The sequence below is a fragment of the Homo sapiens genome, chromosome 12 (genome assembly GCF_000001405.40).
Source record: "Homo sapiens chromosome 12, GRCh38.p14 Primary Assembly".
Lineage (NCBI taxonomy): Eukaryota > Metazoa > Chordata > Mammalia > Primates > Hominidae > Homo > Homo sapiens.
The window spans coordinates 124141939-124161402 of NC_000012.12; the positions used below are offsets into that span (position 1 = coordinate 124141939).

General features: G+C 46.9%; 1 protein-coding gene across 2 annotated transcripts in view, besides 1 other annotated feature; it reads left to right on the forward strand.

The window, feature by feature from the left end:
- Positions 1-19464, forward strand: part of ZNF664-RFLNA (ZNF664-RFLNA readthrough) — a 342810-nt gene that overhangs the window by 168724 nt on the left and 154622 nt on the right. For both annotated transcript variants that reach the window (NM_001204299.3, NM_001347902.2), the window contains exon 3: positions 7657-7853. The gene's annotated coding sequence lies outside the window, so the exon portion shown is untranslated. The remainder of the gene's footprint in view (positions 1-7656; positions 7854-19464) is intronic.
- Positions 3607-4373: an enhancer, noted in NCBI's record as "OCT4-NANOG-H3K27ac hESC enhancer chr12:124630091-124630857 (GRCh37/hg19 assembly coordinates)". NCBI's record gives its function as "activates a minimal SCP1, AML or CMV promoter by ChIP-STARR-seq in naive H9 embryonic stem cells {active_cell/tissue: H9 hESC(naive)}" and the evidence as "EXISTENCE:reporter gene assay evidence [ECO:0000049][PMID:30033119]".

The following is a 19464-nucleotide window of genomic DNA, read 5'->3' on the forward strand; positions in this document are numbered from 1 at the left end:
GTGGGGGCAACTCGAAGCAGGGAGGGGGCTTCCAGGTCACAGGTAGGTGAGAGACAAATGGTTGCATTCTTTTGAGTTTCTAATGAGCCTTTCCAAAGGAGGCAATCAGATATGCATCTATCTCAGTGAGCAGACGGGTGACTTTGGATAGAATGGGAGGCAGGTTTGCCCTGAGCAGTTTCCAGCTTGACTTTTCCCTTTAGCTTAGTGATTTTGGGGGCCCAAGATTTTCCTTTCATATTATAAAGCTGGAAAGTCACTTTCTCTTTTCTTCTTTTTTTTTTTTTTCAAATTGAGCTGAAATTCACATCACATAAAACTAACCATTTTAAAGTGGACAATTCAATGACATTTAGGACAGTTACAATGTTGTAACCACCACCTGTACCTAGTTCCAGAACATTTTCATCACCCCAAAGGGAAACCCCATATCCATTGAGCAGTCACTCCCCATCCCCCCTCTTCCCAGCCCATGGCAACCACCAATTTGCTTTCTGTCTCTATGGATTTACCTATTCTGGATATTTCACATGAATGGAGTCAGGCACTACGTGGCCTTTTATGTCTGGCTGCTTTTACTCTGCATCGTTTTTGAGGTTCATCCATGTTGTAGCCTGTGTCAGTGAGAGAGGAGAAAAAGGAACCAGTCAGGCAGGCAGTTAGGGTGGGTCCTCGGTTGAATTCTTTCAAACCAAAGAACAGCCTGAAAAATCAAGCTGCAGGCACAGATGAGGGAACTTGCACAGGGGGACTTGCCTAAGATGCCCACAGCTGCACAGATAAGATTACACAGGTGACTTGCCCAGACAGGCCCACAGTGGAAAATTCCATCCCCTGACACATGTGCAGTAAGGGGAGCGAAGCAATATGGAGTAACTCAAGCTAAGGGCCTGCGTGCGCATTAGGAGGACAGGGTGGAGCTGCCAGGAATTCATGCCTTATGCAAAGGAGGCACCCAGCCCTCATCGGTTTTGTATAAAAAAAAAGTAGACTTTGCAGTCTACTGTAAAAACGGCAACCCTCTTTCAGGCCTGCTGTCTGCAGCAGAGAGCTTTCCTCTTTTGCTTATTAAACTTTAGCATGAATGTCACCCTTGGTGTCCACATTCCTTAATTTTCACAAGACAAAGAACTGCAGATGATACCTCAAACAACGACAGACTGCTACATTGCGGTGCATTGGCAAGACGGTAACATTAGTGCTTCATTCATTTTGATAGCTGAATCATAGTCCACTCTGCAGAGATCACATTGATCACATTTTGTTTACCCACGTATCCTTTTAAAAAAATGTTTTCGTGGAAATGAGGTCTCACGATGTTGCCCAGCCTGGTCTCAAACTCCTGGCCTCAAGTAATCCTGCCCTGCTTGGCCTCCCAAAGCACTGGGATTACACGCGTGAGCCACCGCACCAGGCCTAACCATTTATCCATTGATGGGCATTTGAGTTGTTTCTACCTTTTGGCTTTTATGAATAAAGCTGCTATAAACCTTTATGTACACATCTTTTAGAGGAGTGAGTGATTTTTGAAACAAAGGGTCAAGAGGACCACTGTCTCCCCAGGAAACGTTTCCATGCTCTTTTCTTCCTGGCATCTTTACACACCAATTCTCTGCATTGCTTCCATGCACGGCCATTAACTGGATTACTGGGGATTCCTAAATAATGATGACGATGCCGTGAACCAGCCTCATATATGATCTCTGCTGCCTGCCACCACCATCCATGCCTAATAAAGTATTCCAGTGCTAATAAAGTGCCTACTTCCAGTGCCTAATAAAGTATTTCATCCATGCCTAATGGAGTGTTGCAGTGCTAGGAAGATGCTTGGAATGTCACAGAGGTGGGAATAGCTTAAAAGCAAGCAAATAATTATTGTTAGGCTTAAGTGAAACTCCGGGCTCGGCCACTTACTTGCTAGGTAGTAGCCTCAGGTGAGTCAGTGAACAACTTCTCCAAGCTGTTAATGGGTATTTGCAAACCAAACACTAAAGATAACACCCACCTCCCAGCATTCCTGGGAGGGGCCAGTGAGGTGAGGAATAGAGGATACTGAGTCAGATGCTCGGCACAGGGTGACAGCCTATCACAGAGGGGACTTTTCTTATTCTGAATTTTTTTTTTTTTTGAGACAGAGTTTTGCTTGCCTGGGCTGGAGTGCAATGGTGCGATCTCAGCTCACCGCAACCTCTGCCTCCCGCTTTCAGGCGATTCTCCTGCCTCAGCCTCCTGAATAGCTGGGATTACAGGTGTGTGCCACTATGCCCAGCTAATTTTGTATTTTTAGTAGAGACGGGGTTTCTCCATGTTGGTCAGGCTGATCTTGAACTCCTGACCTCAGGTGATCCACCCGCCTCGGCCTCCCAAAGTGCTGGGATTACAGGCATGAGCCACAGCGCCTGGCCTCTGATTTTTTAAAACAATGGTAGGTTTGGTGTTAGGCTCTGTGCATACTGATTCAGGGCTAGCCAGGAGATTTTGCAAACGTGATTTTGCAGTCTAGGATGTAGGACTGATTACAGGGTGATGTTGTTAGATATTTGGGAATTATTTGAGGTGTTCTGTGTCTTGAGAGTTCAACTGTCCTTTTTTGGAGCAATGTAGCCGTATTTTTGCAAGGGGAAGAAGACAAAAGACTGGCTTGAGTTCTTGCTCATCTCTCTGGATCTTTCTCTCTGTCATCTTTCTGGCTCTCTCCCTCTCTCTTTCAGACCCACTTCTGAATCAGGCTAAACTTTGTGTGACCCCATACTGCTTATATGTGACACCAGTCTTTTCTAAACACAGGCTGAATTCAAAATTTGTTACAGAAACACCCAGAACGTCTGCACGTGGTTATCTCTGAATTGAATCGAGCCAGGAATTTGGGCCCTTTTTTGTCTTAACCTTATCATTATTGGCACTCGATCAGACACAGACTGGCAAGGCAAAGCTTTGTCTGTCAAGGCGAAAGACCAAAGGGCTGGGAAAAGATGAATTTCACATGTTTTGCATTTAGAACAGGTAGTTTCCCTAGCCGGCAAAGAAGCTGAGTGTGAACTTGTTGGTGTGAGGACTCTTTGTTGGTGTGATGACAACTCTTAGGTGAGAATGTGTCAAGAAAGAAGCTGATAAAGGCAGAAGATGTTGGTTTTCCATCTAACAGTCATGTTCCCTTCTCCCATGTCTTACTTACTCTACCAAGTAAGTGGCAGAGCCAGGAGTCTAACAATATTTGCTTGCTTTAAAGCGATTCCCACCTCCGTGACATTCCAAGCATCTTCCTAGCATTGGAATATTTTACTAGGCATGGATGGTGGTGGCAGGCAGCAAAGATCACGTAAGAGGCTGTTTCTTTCCTTCTTTTTTTTTTTTTTTCGAGACAGAGTTTTGCTCTTGTTGCCCAGGCTGGAGTGCAGTGGCGCGATCTCGGCTCACCGCAACCTCTACCTCCTGGGTTCAAGTGATCCTCCTGCCTCAGCTTCCTGAGTAGCTGGAATTACAGGCGCATGCCACCATGCCCAGCTAATTTTATATTTTTATTTATATTTTAAATTTGATTTTATATTCCTTGTTTAGGAATCCCCAGTAATCCAGTTAATGGCCGTGCATGGAGGCAATGAAGATAACTGGTGTGTAAAGATGCCAGGAAGAAAAGAGCATGGAACCATTTCCTGGAGAGATAGTGGTTTTCTTGACCCTTTGTTTCAAATTTGGATTGGTTGAAATTGTTGACAAAAAAGCCAAACAGTAAAATGTTTAAAGAGGTTTATTCTGAGCTAGTATGAGTGACCATGGCCTGAGGAACAGTCTCGAGATCCTGAGAAAATGTGTCCTACGCGGACAGGTTGTAGCTTCGTCTTATACATTTTAGGGAGACAGAAGTTACAGGCAAAGACATAAGTCAATACGTGGAAGGTATATATTTATTTGCCCCAAAAAGGTGGGAATCTCAAAGTGGGGGGGAGGCTGGTTACAGGTCACAGGTGGATTAAAAGATTTTCTGACTGGCAATTGGTTGAAAAAGTTAAGCTTTGTCTGCAGACTTGAGGTAAATGCTTGAGTTAAGATAAGAGGGGTTGCAGAAGCCAAGGTTCTTGTTATGTAGATGAAACCTCCAGATGCAGCCTTAGGGAGAATACGGTAAATATCTCTTTTCAGACCTTAAAGGTGTCAAACTGTCATTTAATCTCTTCTACATCTGGGTGAGACCTAGAAAAGGAAGAAGATTCCCTTCAGTTGCAAATTTCTCCCACAAAAGACAACTTTGGGGCTGGGCGCGCGGTGGCTCACGCCTGTAATCCCAGCACTTTGGGAGGCCGAGGTGGGTGGATCACGAGGTCAGGAGTTTGAGACCATCGTGACCAAGATGGTGAAACCCTGTCTCTACTAAAAAATGCAAAAAAATTAGCGGGTTGTGGTGGTGGGCACCTATAGTCCCAGCTACTTGGGAGGCTGAGGCAGGAAAATCACTTGAACTCAGGAGGTGGAGGTTGCAGTGACCTGAGATCGTGCCACTGCACTGCAGCCTGGGCAACAGAGCAAGAGTCTGTCTCAAAAAAAAAAAAAAAAAAAAAAAAAAGACGACTTTGAAGGGTCATTTCAAAATATGTCAAGAAATAGATTTTGGGGTAAACAATTTTGATTTCCCTCAGGGTCTGCTATCTGTCACGTGATGTTATATTAGAGTCAGGTTAGAATTTGGTATCTTATGGCCACAATGAAGTCTTCTGTCAACTTTATGATCCCTATTTCATTATTTTTATTTTATTTTATTTTATTTTATTTTATTTTATTGAGACAGAATCTCGCTCTGTTGCCCAGGCTGGAATGCAGTGGCGCGATCTCAGCTCACTGCAACCTCCACCTCCTGGGTTCAAGTGATCCTCCTGCCTCAGCTTCCTGAGTAGCTGGGATTACAGGTGCATGCCACCATGCCTGGCTAATTTTATATTTTTAGTATAGATGGGGTTTCACCATGTTGGTCAGGCTGGTCTCGAACTCCTGACTTTGTGATCCACCTGCCTCGGCCTCCCAAAGTGCTGGGATTACAGGCATGAGCCACTGCGTCCGGCCTATGATCTCTATTTTAATGTTAATGCTGGTCAGCTGTGCCTAAACTCCAACACGGAGGGGGAATAATGAGGTGTATCTGACCTCCCTTCCTGTCATGGTTGGGAATTCATTTTTTCAGGTTTCCCTTGGCCCAGAGTGGGTCTGCTCAATTGGTTGGGGGTGCTTAGGATGTTATTTTTAGTTTCCAAAGCAAACATATGGTCCCACTCTGTTTGCCTGTTTTTGGCTTAGGTAGGAACATGTGACCCAGTTGCAGCCAATGAGATGTCAGGAGAAGTTGGCTGGGGGCTTCTGGGAAATGGTTCTTAGCTCCTAGAAAGAGATACAAGGAAGAGATGGCCGCCTTCTCACCTTGGGATGTTGCATGTGGATGTTTGCCTGGAGCTGTGGCAGCTGTGTTGATGCTGTGAAGAGAGACATGAAGATGGCAGTGAAGACAGAAAGAACTGGAGTCCTCGATGTCATAATTGAGCTGCAGAATTAACCACCCCTCGAGCTGCCCTACCTCTGAATGCCTTGTAAAGGGAGAGGATAAATGTCTTTATCATTGAAGCACCTTTTGTTGTGTTTATTATTTGCAACCAAGCAGATCCTGACTGTTAGAATGCTTGATGCTCCATTTCATGCAGCTACGAGAAAAGGGTGGGACAGCTGGTCAGCCAGCTGAGTCTAGGGAGAATCCTGTGCTTATTAACCCATTGCTGCCTGCCTCATTGGCCTGTGCCTATAAAACGAGAGATGCTGCTTCCTTTTTAGGTCCACATCATGATAGCACACGCCTTCACCAGCCTCTGAAGGAAATGAGAATCTTTACAACAATCCCGTGGGGAGTTTCGAGAGGGCCCCTTACAGAAACGGTGGAACAGGAAGCACTCAGTCTCTTTTCTTCAAAGCTTCTCATCTGAATGAGGCTGCTCTCTCCCTCTGCCTCATGTGTTAAATGGGGATAGCATTAGGGGAAGTTTGCATCTGTAGGCCATTTTGGAGGAGTGACCTAGTGACTGCAAAACGCTTAGAACAGTGCCTAGCACGTAATAAACACTCAGCAAATGTGGCTGCTGTTATAATTACTTTTTTTGTTTGTTTTGTTTTGTTTTGAGATGGAGTTTGGCTCTTGTTGCTCAGGCTGCGGTGCAATGGCACGATCTCAGCTCACTGCAACCCCCGCCTCCCAGGTTCAAGCGATTCTTGTGCCTCAGCCTCTCGAGTAGCTGGGATTATTATAGGCACCCACCACCATGCCTGGCTAATTTTTTAAATTTTTACTAGAGACGGAGTTTTACCATGTTGGCCAGGCTGGTCTCGAACTTCTGACCTCAGGTGATCCACCCACCTTGGCCTCCGAAAGTGCTGGGATTACAGGCATGAGCCATCATGCCCAGCCCGTTGTAACTAATTATTCTTCTCTTTGTCTTAGACAGGGATGTATTTGGCCTTAAATGGCACACAGTCTGCAATGCTTGAGGGATGTCCCCTAAGAGGACTAAAGAACTGACAAAGGAGAAGAAGGAAATAATGGGACAGGAGGAAGCAACAGTGAGAAGAGGAGGGGAGTGGGCAGGAGGAAATAAGGACAGGAAGAAAAAGAGGCCAATGTAGGGGAGAGAGGGGCAGCTGGTCCCTGGAGCCGTCTATGTCCCTGGTTTGCAGAGAACATTCCCAAGGGAGTCGTGTTCCTGTTGCTCATTAATTCCCTGGTCAACTGGCCCCTTGTCGGGCTCTTGCCTGGAGCAGTTGAGTGTCCTCTAACTGGGAGCAGCTGAAACTTAAAGGGTTTTGCACCGTATGTTGTTTCCGGAGCTCCCTTTTTCCTGTGGCTTCTGTTTTTCTTATTAAATGCTGCTGCTGAATTTGCAGCTGAAAGAAAGACAGAAAGACTACTGAAGAAGGCCTTGCCGCCCTAAAAGCTTCAGTGGAGCAGTGGGTCTCCACGCTCGGAGGTGCTTTCTGGCTGTCCAGTTTACAAATGAACTGGCAAGGCAAGCTAGACCTTTCATCCAAGAATCCAGATTAATGTTGCCTCCGAGTGTTTGAAGGAGCCACAAGGTCTGACTTACGCATGGCTCTTTCTTCCTGGCAGAACCTGATAGGTCTGTTTCTGTTGTTATATCTGGGGAGCTTCTCACCAGGAAGGGACAAGCTTGTAAAAAACTTGGTGAGTTTATGTCTGGTCGGCAGTCGCAGGAATACTGGACCAGTTGAGGGAGGTTCTGGGACCCCTACATCTTTCCACTGCTTCCTGAGCCAGAGAGTGTAAGGGGAGAGGAAAGAATTCGCTCTTCTCTGCTGAAGTCCGGAAGCTGTAATGGGGTAACAGCCAGAACCAGGGGAGCCAGACTAGAGGCTTGGATTTTCTGCTTATGAGTGCACCCCCCAAACATCCAGAACTCCGTGGGCCTCCCAGGGTTGAAGCAACAAGCCACAGGTCCAGCACTTGGCTTTGGGACCCCCGGTCTCAGCAGTGGCTGTGTGTCCACCCATACGTTTGTTACTCAGCATCACTGTGGCCACTGCTGACTGATACTTATGAGGTGCTCAAAAGTCACTGACAAAGCAGCTGCCTGAGCTCACCTTGTCCTCATCACCTTTTCTCCTTTCCAGGCCGCACTTGGTGAGAGTCTTCACGGACCACAGTGTTGCACGAGGTGATTGTGTTTGCAGAGGTTTTTTTGTCCTTGAAGAGCACTTAGGGCTGGAGAGCAAGACACATGCTGACGAGCAGAAGCTGACAGGCTTGCTGCCATGTGGGAAAGTCCTTGGACGAGTTGTCTGCTTGCGGAGAGGTGTCTGCGGCTCAGGTAGGGTGTCCCAGCTCGGTGGGTCTCTGGGTTCCAGAGTTCCAGAGTTTATTTGGTGAAACACAGCAGGGGTTATCACTGTGGCCCATGGCAGGGCTGAGCTGCCAACTTGATGCCCGTTGTTAGGAACAGATGTGAATTGTGTGTCCGGGTGAATAAGCCTCACTGTGGAGCCTCCATGCTGTAGAGAACTGGAGGAGCCAGGTTTGCAGAGTCTGCAAGGCGATCGTGTCTATGCGAGGAGAAATCCCTCACTCGGAGGGATTGCATTCCAAGAGGGCTGGGAAGTGAAGCCCAGTCTTCGTGACTTCTCTTTTCAGACCCAGGAAACATGGGTTCTGTGTTCCCTAAAAGTACCTGGTAGACCATTTATCACGTGAGACCTAGTTATTTGTCTACTATATGCCAGGCACTAGAAGTAAAATGATGATGAAGTCATGGACCCTGAGTTGAGAGAGCTTGATGGCTAATGAGAGAGGTGATTACAATACAGCATGACGAATGAGATAACAGGAATAAGAGGAGGCTCATGCGGCCTAAGCATGATGGCTGGAGGGAGTCTTTTCCCAGGAGACAAGGGGGCCGTTGCAAGAGGAGGCCAGATGGGGAGGGGAGGGGCGCGGCAGGCAGAGGGAACAGCCCTGCTGAAGACAGGCAGGCTGGAGAAAACTCCATGTGCTGTGGACCTGGGAGTAATTAATTTCCCCTGAAAGCAGAGGGGGGCTGTTTTTCATGCTTATTTGTATTGTATATTTCATCTTTTGTAAAGTTCCCATTGTGTTTTAAAATTTCCCTTTGGGTTTTAAAAATGCCTGCACACATTCTTTGATACTCTTCCCTTCAAAGAAAGGAGTGTGGGTTGGATTTAACGGCCAGGTTCTAATGAATGAAGTTAAGTGGAAGTGCCTGTGTGTGACTTTGGAGACGAGGCAGTGGGCAGTGAACTAACTCTCTCTCTGTCTCTGTCTCTGTCTCTCTCTGTCATTTGCCCTGGAGGAAGTGAGTTGCCATGTGGAGAGGTCCACATGGTGAGAGACTGAGATCTCCAGCCAACAACCAGGGAGGAGCTGAGGCTCTCACTAACAGCAGAAGGTGTGACCTTGGAGGCCCAGGCAGGCCTTTTAGTGGCCACAACCCTAGGTTACCTCCTGACTGCATGAGGCACCCTGAATTAGACCCTCCCTAGTTAAGCTGCTCCTGGATTCCTGACCTTCAGACAGTGTGAGATAATACATGTTTGTTGTTTAAGCTGCTGAGTTTTGGGATAACTTGTTACGCAGCAGTAGGTAACTAATACACCAGTCCACATTCCCTGCTCACTTTGTTTGAGGGAGTGTTTGTCTTTAATTTATTTTTGGAAGTTCTTTATATATTAAATTATGAACCCTTGGTATATATATATGTTGTAAAAATTTTCCCATTGTAATCTTGTATATACTTTAAAAAACATATATATGTATACTTTTTAAAAACCCAAATACCATTTATTATATTTTCTGCCTTTGGTGACATTTAGATATGTATTAGGTTGAAATTGCTAATATTCAATTGTTATTGACTGGCAAGAAATTAGACCTAATAGTCCCCACTACAAAATCACGTATATTTTTTCCCTGTATTTTTCTCTCCACACTTTTATGGTTTTATTTTGATATTAAAATTTAAGACCATTTGTTGCAGGACAGGTGAGCACCAAAACTGGGGCTTAGCCTGGGAGGATTCTTGGCTTTGCCCAGGAAAGAATTGAAGGGCGATCTGGTGGTGTTAGACAGCAATATTTTATTCAATGGTATTTCTCCTTGTGGAGCAGGGCTAACTCATAGGTAGTGTGCCCAGAATCAGCAGCCTATGGGCTCCTGGAAACTGTGTTTATACCCACTTTCAATAACATGCAAATTAAGGGGCAGGTTAATGCAAATTGAGGGGTAGATTATTTAGAACTTTCTAGAAAGGAGCAGTAACTTCCGGGTCATTGTCATGGAAAGGAGTGATAACTTCTGGGTCGTCGCCATGGCATTTGTAAACTGTTACGGGGCTGGTGGGAGTGTCCTAGGTTAATGAGCACTGAGGGCAGCCAGGGATCACTTTCATAGCCATCCGCTTGTTCCTGCCTGTTTCTTTACTTTATTCTGTCTGAACCAGATTCTGTCTCAGTCAACAGGGTTGTGACCAGAAAATAAGTCCTGCTGGTTTCCTACCTCACCTTGACTTGTCTTTGGCTTCTTCCTTCACTTGCTTCTTAAATGATGCTATCTCCCGACCATAATCTATTTCTATCCCCTCTTCATATTCTCCTTGAGCAACCGTGTGCAGCCCACACATCTGCTCCCTCCTGTGATGATGGCTCCAGCTTCACTTCCCAGCCTGGACACACTCTCCAGGGTGGGCTAGGCATCTCCACTTGGGTGCCGGGAGACATTGTAAATTCCACATCTCACCCTCAAAAATGTTCTCACATTCCCATTTCTTAGCAAACAGCATCCCTAGACATGCAGATCCCAAATCCAAAAATCCTACACCCAGTCTTTCACCAGCTGTCACAGGCCACCAATTAACTCTTCTCTGAAGTGTCCCCAGCACCCTGACTCCCCTATCTGTCAACATGACCACTTCCCAAGTTGAATTCTTCCATGTTTTTCTCCAGAACAACAGCCAAGGCATCCTAAGAGGTCTTCCTGCCTCAGTTCTGATTCATATGGAGTGATCTTTCTAGACCCCCAAATGGATGCTGTTAACTCTACATCATTCCATGGTTTCACATTCCTGGCAGGACAATCTCCAAGGTTCCTGGCTTCCCATAAAGGCACAGCCACCCTGAAGCCAACCATATTGGCCTCCTTTTGGTTTCCCAAATGTACCACACTCCTCCTGGCCTTGGTGTTTGTCACACAGTCCTCTCTTCTGGGAGTCCCTTCCCCTTCTCTGCCTGTCAACATGGCCACTTCCCAGGTTAAATTCTACCACATTTTTCTCCAGAACAACAGCCTTCAAAACTCAGCAGGAGCATCCTCTCCTCCTGCAATGCCAAGCCAACACTTCTCTGCTTCCACGACCTGCCCCCACTCCTCCATTACAGCATTCACATCTCATGGGACTGGCTGGCCACGTGTCTGGCTCCTCTCGGAGCTGCAGCTTCGCTGAAAGCTGGGAAAGGGTTATGTTCTGCAGATGCCTCTTTCATGAATTATGGAGCAAGTAAGCACTGGGAGGCTGCCAAGCGGGGTTCTCATTTCTGCTGCGTGACGTTGTGCAAGTCACTTCTCAGGGTCTCAACACATTTCACAAAGTTCCATGTTTTTGTTGTTGTTGTTGTTGTGAGATGGAGTTTCGCTCTTGTTGCCCAGGCTGGGGTGCAATGGTGCTATCTTGGCTCACCACAACCGCCGCCTCCTGGGTTCAAGCAATTCTCCTGCCTCAGCCGCCCAAGTAGCTGGGATTACAGGCATGCACCACCACGCCTGGCTAATTTTGTATTTTTAGCAGAGACAGGGTTACACCATGTTGGTCAGGCTGGTCTTGAACTTCCCACCTCAGGTGATTCACCTGCCTCGGCCTCCCAAACTGCTGGGATTACAGGCGTGAGCCACCGCGCCTGGCCTAACTTCCATGTTATTAAGGAAAAAAAGGTAGAAATAAAAAACATGCCTAAAGAATAAAACAAAAGGCAAAAAAATTTCTGTTGTTTCCCCTGCCCCAACACATACAGCCTAAATACTTCCTTTCTCATATGAGGAAATCCTATGTAAAAGGACCAGATTAGTTTTCAGTTATTTGAAACATCTGTTGAACTAAGGAATTTTGTACCAGCGAAGCAATGGTGGTGAGGGAGGGAGGATTTGGGAGTTGCCTCGTTCTCTAGACAAGTTGGGGGAGAGAATGAGGTTTGGCCTTGGGTAGAGTGCTGTGGATTTGTTGGGGGAATGCAGCTTAGGAAAGGTGAGTAAAGCCACAGAGCAGGTGAGTATGACCCCAACAGATGGGATGGTTAGGAATGGGAGGCTAGGGACAGCTGCACTATCTTCTAAATAAATGTCCCTCAACCTGGGGAACATGACTATATGTTAGAGCAGTGGTCCCCAACCTTTTTAGCACCAGGGACCGGTTTTGTGGAAGACAATTTTTTCACAGACTGGGCTGGAGGGCGCAGGAATGGTTTCGGCATGATTTAAGTGCATTACATGTGCTGTGCACTTATTTCTATTATTATTACATACCCATTATAATGTAGAATCAGTGGGAGTCCTGAGCTTGTATCCCCGCAACTAGATGGTCCCATCTGGGGGCGACAAGAGACAGTGACAGACCATCAGGCATTAGATTCTCATAAGGAGCACAGAACCTAGATCCTTCGCTTGTGCAGTTCACAATAGGGTTCTCACTCCTATGAGAACCTCACGCTGCTGCTGATCCGACAGGAGGTGGAGCTAAGCTTTGCTTGCTCACCTGCAGCTTACCTCTTGCTGTGTGGCCTGGTTCCTAATAGGACTGATACCCATCTGTGGCCCAGGGGTTGGGGACCCCTGTGTTAGAGAGTCTGAAAGCTCTCTCTGAGAATGTTTTAATCTCGTCTCCATTTCAGTGAGTTTCAGTTCTCTCTTGTGACTTAAAACCCAACAATGTCTATTTCTCACCATCGTGGGCTCAGCTGTATGGCTCTTCTGTTCCCCGTGGTGTATGCTGTGTCTAGAATGTCCAAGATGGCAGCTGGCCCTTTAGCTGGGATGAATGGCAAGTTGGGACCTGGACGGTCATCTCTCTCTCCTTATTGCTACCTTAGGCTTTGTTGTAGCACTGTGTTCTCAGAGTAGCTCAAACTTCTCACATGGTGGCTGCCTCCAAGAGAAGGGACATGGAAGCTGCCAGTCCTCTCAAAGGCCAGGCCCGGAATTCACACAGCCTCACTTCTGCCAGTTTTATTGGTCAAAACCAGTCCCAGGCCCGCCCAGATGGGGAGTGCTGCACACATCTTGTGGGGGAGGCGTTGATGGCAGCTGTCTTTGGAGACACTCTACCTCACAATGACAATATTCCCAATCACTTGGTTGAGTGCTTTGTAACCGAGGACATGTGACTTTGGTGTCCACGACTGCCTTTTCATTTATGATGATATTTGAACCAACTACCACTACTTTAATTGCTCTGGATGTTAAGCAAAGAACAGAGGTTGACTTACTGTGCCAATGGCCATCCCTGCCCAGTGAGGCCTGAATGGCTGTGGCACATGGTGCCAATGTGGTTTCCTACTCCTCTGGTGGACTTAGCTCCCCACAGTGGGGTCCAGAGGCCAGCACCTTATTTGAGCTGTGAGAAGTGACTCCATTCCAGGACAATGGCATCAACTACCACATTATATCACTGTTTTTTAAATTTAAAAAAAATTTTGGCCAGGCACGGTGGCTCATGCCTGTAATCCCACAACTTTGGGAGGCCAAGGTGGGCAGATCACCTGAGGTTGGGAGTTTGAGACCAGCCTGACCAACATGGAGAAACCCCGTCTCTACTAAAAATACAAAATTAGCCGGGTGTGGTGGCGCATGCCTGTAATCCCAGCTACTTGGGAGGCTGAGGTTGCAGTGAGCTGAGATCGCGCCATTGTACTCTAGCCTGGGCAACAAGAGCAAAACTCCATCTCAGGAAAAAAAAAAATTTATTGACAAAATGGTGTAGAAATTCCCCTGTACCTTCCCCCAACAGTTTCCCCATTATTGACATCTTGCATTTGGCACGGGACATTTGTTACAATGAGTGAGCCACTATTTATACATTACAGTGGTCCCCTGTTATCCTCAGGGGACATGTTCCAAGACACCCAGTGGATGCCTGAAACTGTGGATGCCACCAAGCCCCATATATCGTATGTTTTTTCCATCTGATAACTGAGGCAGCGACTAAGTGACTGACAGGTGGGTAGTGTCTACAGTGTGGATATGCTGGACACGGCGAAGGCTCATGTCCTGGGCAGGATGGCACGAGATTTCATGACACTGTGCAGCAGGGTGCGCGGTTGAAAACTTGCAAATTGTTGATTTCTGAAATTTTCCATTTAATATTTTCAGGCTGCTGTTGATGGTGGGTAATGAACCACGGAAAGCAGAACTGCGGATAAGGGGGAACTCCTGTGTTACTAATCGAAGTTCATAGCTTACATTAGGGTTCCCTCACTGTTTGCTTTCTGCATACAATGGGTTTTGACAAACGCATAGTCCCGGAGCCCCCATGACAGTATCACATAGAGCAGTTTCACGGCTCTGAAAATCCTCTGTGCTCCGCCCACTCATCCCTCTATCACCCTAAACCCCTGGCAGCCATTCATCTTTTTCTGTCTCTATAGTTTTGCCTTTTCCAGAATGTCATATAGCTGGAATCATACGGAGTCTTTTCAGATTGGCTTCTTTCACTTGGCAATATGCATTTAAGGTTCTTCTAGGTCCATCCGTGCCTTGACAGCTCATTGCTTTTATCACTGAATAATATTCCATTGCATGGGCGTATCAGTTTATGCGTTCAGCTCTTGAAGGATATCTTGGTTACTCCCAGGTTTTAGCATTTATGAATAAAGGTGCCATAAACATTTGTGTGTAGGGTTTTTATTTTTTATTTTTTGAGGCAGAGTCTCGCTCCATCGCTCAGGCTGGAGTGCAGTGGCGCCATCTCGGCTCACTGCAACCTCTGCCTCCCGGGTTCAAGTGATTCTCCTGCTTCAGCCCCCCGTGTAGCTGGGATTACAGGCACTCACCACCACGCCCGGCTAATTTTTGTATTTTAGTAGAGACAGGGTTGCACCAACCGGCCAGGCTGGTCTCAAACTCCCGACCTCAGGTGACCTGCCCGCCTCAGCCTCCCAAAGTGCTGGGATTATAGGCGTGAGCCACCGCACCCAGCCTATATGCAGGTTTCTGTGTAGACATAAGCTTTCAGATCAGTTTGACAAATTCCTAGGAATATGATTTTTGGATTGTATGGTAAGATTATAATTATCTTTGGAAGATGCCGTCAAACTGCCTTCCAAAGTGGCTGCACCATTTTGCATTCCCACCAGCAGCAATGAGGGTTCCTGCTGCTCCACGTCCTTGCAACGTTTGGTGTGTTTCAGATTTTAGCCATTGCGTAGTGGTATGTAGTGGTAAAAACAAGTAATTCTTTTTATAAATTAAAAAAAAATGTAGCTTTGTGTTATTTATAAGTTGGTTTTAGATGGATAATTGTTTAAGAAGTCTAAGCATACTCATTCATTCATTCAGTAGATATTTGTTGAGCACCTACTATGTGCCAGATATGTTTTAGTAGCTCATGACACAGCAGTGAACAAAGTAGACCCAAATCCTTGTCCCCTCGAAGCCGAGATTCTAGTGGGAGCAGATGGGAGATCTATAAGGTCAGCAAATAAAACACATAGGAAGATGAGTGGGGATCAGAGCTTTGGAGAAAGAGATCAAGGGAGTGGGGGTTATGGGGTACTGGGGAGGGTTGTGTGCACCATCTCAGATGGGGGCCAGGAGGGCCCTCTCTGGGAGGGACATCTGCATGGCCTTAGAAAGGCCAAGACAAGGAGTGGTGGGTGTGGGTGGCGTGCGTGAGGACCAGCAGCACCGCCAGGAGGTGGGAGTGGAGGGAACGAGGACACCATTAGGAAGGGCAGCCAGCCGAGCAACTGGGAGGAGATGGGGGATCACACAGGGCCTCCTGGACCATTGTGAGAACTTAAGCTTTTGCAATAAGTGAGATGTGAGCCCTGGCAGAGTTTTGTGCAGAAGAGTGACAGGAACAGGTGAATGCTTTAAAAGGATCATGTCGCATGTTAAAATACAAGCTGGAGCATGTCACTCTTCTGTTTAAAGCCCTGCAATGGTTCAGCCTGAGATGCCAGTGGCCTTGCCGGGGGTGGACAGCAGGGGTTGCATTCTGGAGGCGTCCGGAAAGCAGAACCAATAGGATTTGCTGACAAATGGCACGTGTGATACAAATGACAGAGAGAAATTGGGGATGGCTTGAAAACATTTGACTTGAACAGCTGGAAGATTGGATGGCGACTTTATACCTGGTTTCAGGTTTTTGTGTTGTAAATCACATTCTCTGATGCATAGTTTAAATAAACAGCTTGAGGTGTCTTTGTAGGAATTTTAATGCCTCGCCATGGAGTCCAGCACATTATTCAAGTTTGATGAACTCTGGCTCAAAAAGGGTATTCCTGTGCAGCAGGACCATAGAACTTATTGTCCAAACTGGGGCATCTCGAGTGAAAAGACTGCTGTTTCTAATCACACTGGGACAACCCATGTAAACCTGGGCTGCCCCAGGCAAAATGGGATGTATTGATGGTTTAGTGAGTGATAGTTCCTGGAAACTGAAAGAGTGAAGCAAGAGAAAGAAAGATGGGAGAAGAAGGGAGAGAAAAAGGCAAGGATAGACCTGCCCACCGGTGAAGGTTGCGGGGCACGTTATCAGGAGGGACAGAAAGTGAAAGGCGAGGTTTCTTTTGCCCAGGGAGGACTGGAATGGCGGGGGCCCTGCTGTGGGTGTTGAGTCCCCAAGGAGCTGCCATCCTCATTTTATCTGGGATGCTCTCTCTATCATCACTCCACTTCCAGATATGTCAGCTCCAGAGGGCAGTCAACACACAAGACTGGACACAGGAGAAAGAGCTTGGGAAAAGGAAGTCTCTAATCCGGAGCCAAAGAGAAGAGCTTGTAACTGATCACGCATGCCTGTGGGTCCAGGCGTCATATTTTGGAGGCAGGTCTCTTTCCTGAGACCCCGGGCTGTGAACAGGTCAGAGGGGTGGACTAAGCCGAATGGTGGTTCTCCCAAAAATGTGTCCACCCAGAACCTGTGAATGCGACTTTATTGGGAAAAAAGGTCTTTGCAGATGTGATTAGGTTCCGTGTCTTGAGTAGTAAACAAAACAAAGTCCCCTGCCCTCAGAGCTGATGCTGTAGCACAGTGACATCCCCGATGTTATGCTGGTTAGTGTGGGAGCTGGGAAAGAATGTGTCCCAAGGAGGTCCTTTCCACTCGACTTGCTGACAGCTCTGATGAGAACTGCAGGGCCTTCCTGTTTCTCTCCAAGCAAAAGCCAGAGCTTTTTCCAAGGTCTCTGTCACCACACACACCACCCCATTCCCTCTCTCATCTCCTCCTCTCATGCACACTGCCCCAGCCACCCCCGCCTCCTCACTGTTCCTGGAGCCTTCCAAATATGCTCCCTGCCCCAGGGCCTTCGCACCTGCTGTGGCCGTGCCTGGGACACTTTCCCCCTCAGCTTGGCTAAATCCCTGTGATCGCTTCGTGTTGCTGCTGTAACAGATGATCACAAACCGAGTGCTTAAAACAATGTACATTCATTATCTCACAGTTCTGGAGGCCAGAAGTCCAAAATGCATCTCACCGGGCTAAAATCAAGTCGTCCACAGGGCTGCATTCCTTCTGGCGTGCTGTGAGAGGCTCTATTCCCTGACCTTGTCCAGCATGTAGAAACTTCCTGAATTCTTTAGCTCATGGCTCCTTCCTCATCTTCAAAGTGCACATTCCAACCTCTGATTCTGTCATCACTTCTCTTCTGACCTGATCCTCCTGCCACCTCCCTCTTTTTTTTTTTTTTTTTTTTTTGAGACGGAGTCTTGCTCTGTTGCCCAGGCTGGAGTGCAGTGGTGTGATCTCAGCTCACTGCAACCTCCACTTCCCGGGTTCAAGAGATTCTTCTGCCTCAGCCTCCTTAGTAGCTGGGATTACAGGTGTGCATGACCACACCTGGCTACTTTTTTTTTGTATTTTTAGTAGAGATGGGATTTCACCATGTTGGCCAGGCTGGTCTTGAACTCCCGACCTCAGGTGATCCATCTGTCTCGGCCTCCCAAAGTGCTGGGATTACAGACGTGAGCCACCGTGCCTGGCCATATCTATTCTTTATTACCTGCTTCCCGCAGTAAAATGCCAGCCCCAGAGGGCAGGGATCTTGACCATTTTCCTGCTTCCTTAATAGGAGCTCAGAGGATCTGAACAAGGGTGCTATTTATTGAAAGAAAACACGAGAGCAATTAGCCAGTGCCACCAACAGGCACGCCTAGCTCAGTCTCCAGACGGACGATTCCAGAATCAGACAGCTCTGTGCCGTTCCCCTGCACACATGGCCTTGAAAGCAGCTGGCCCAGTGGCCTCGGGTTCCAGGCTTGCCACAGCTCTGCTCTTCCTGACCTCCAGCCTGGGGCCTGGGGCCTTTTTCCAGTTTCAAAATGATAGTAAAAGGAAATTCAACAGCACTCCAGTGATGATGGGGTATTTTCTAAGACACAATTTTCTAAGTCTTGATGCTTCCAATTTCTGCCATATCGGGAGCATTTGGCCATCTTTTGGAAGTGAAATCTGTTTTATTGGTCTTAATCTTGTTCAGTTGTTTCTCCGGGGCCTGCGCGACACTGTCAGGGCCTTGGAGGCAGCTTTGGCAGGACTTCTGGGGAAAGTGCCTACTGGTGATAGAAAAAAATGGGGCCTTGGTCTGTTGGATTCCCAAAAATGCAGGCATTCCCAGCTGCTGGAGAGCAGGCACTCAGGGCCCCGGCTGCAGCTGCAGCTGGAAAAAGAAAAGGGAAAAAAAGGGAGAAGGAGGCTTTGAGAGCAGCTTTTCCGCACGGTTCCAGGAAGCTAGATTGGGTATATCCAAACGAGGTGGTTCATGGTAAAATCAGAAAAAAAGAAAAACCACAATGGAAAAGCAAGGGAAAGAACAGTTTCTTCTAAAGAGAAACGCACAGAGGCCATGTGAGTTAATCCCACCCTCCCCTTCGCTAGTTATCTTTTTGCTGGGTTGCATAACTGAGGAGGGAGAAAGATCCTAGGGCTGAGAGTTGGAACACAGAGGTTTTGTTTCATTTTTTTAATTAAAAAAAGTTTTATTTCCATAGGTTTTTTGGGGAAAAGATGGTATTTGGTGACATGAGTCAATTCTTTAGTGGCGATTTGTGGGATTTTGGTGCACCCATCACCCAAGCAGTGCACACTGCACCCAATTTGTCATCTTTTATCCCTCACCCCCTTCCCACCCTTTCCCCGAGTCCGCAAAGTCCATTGTGTCATTCTTATGCCTTTGCATCCTCATAGCTTAGCTCCCACTTATGAGTGAGAACATAGGATGTTTGGTTTTCCATTCCTGAGTTACTTCACTTAGAATGATAGTCTCCAATCCCATCCAGGTTGCTGTGAATGCCATTAATTCATTCCTTTCTATGGCTGAGTAGCATTCCATTGTGTATATATGCCATGGTTTCTTTATTCACTCATTGATTGATGGGCATTTGGGTTGGTTCCACAATTTTGCAATTGCAAATTGTGCTGCTATAAACATGCGTGTGCAAATATCTTTTTCATATAATGACTTCTTTTGCTCTGGGTAGATTCCCGGTAGTGGGATTGCTGGATCAAATGGTGGTTCTGCTTTTAGTTCCTTAAGGGATCTCCACACTGTTTTCCATAGTGGCTGTACTAGTTTCATTGCCATCAGCAGTGTAGAAGGGAACACGGAGGTTCTTTTTTTTTTTTTTTTTTTTTGAGACAGAGTCTTGCTCTGTTGCCCAGGCTGGAGTGCAGTGGCGCGATCTCGGCTCACTGCAACCTCCAC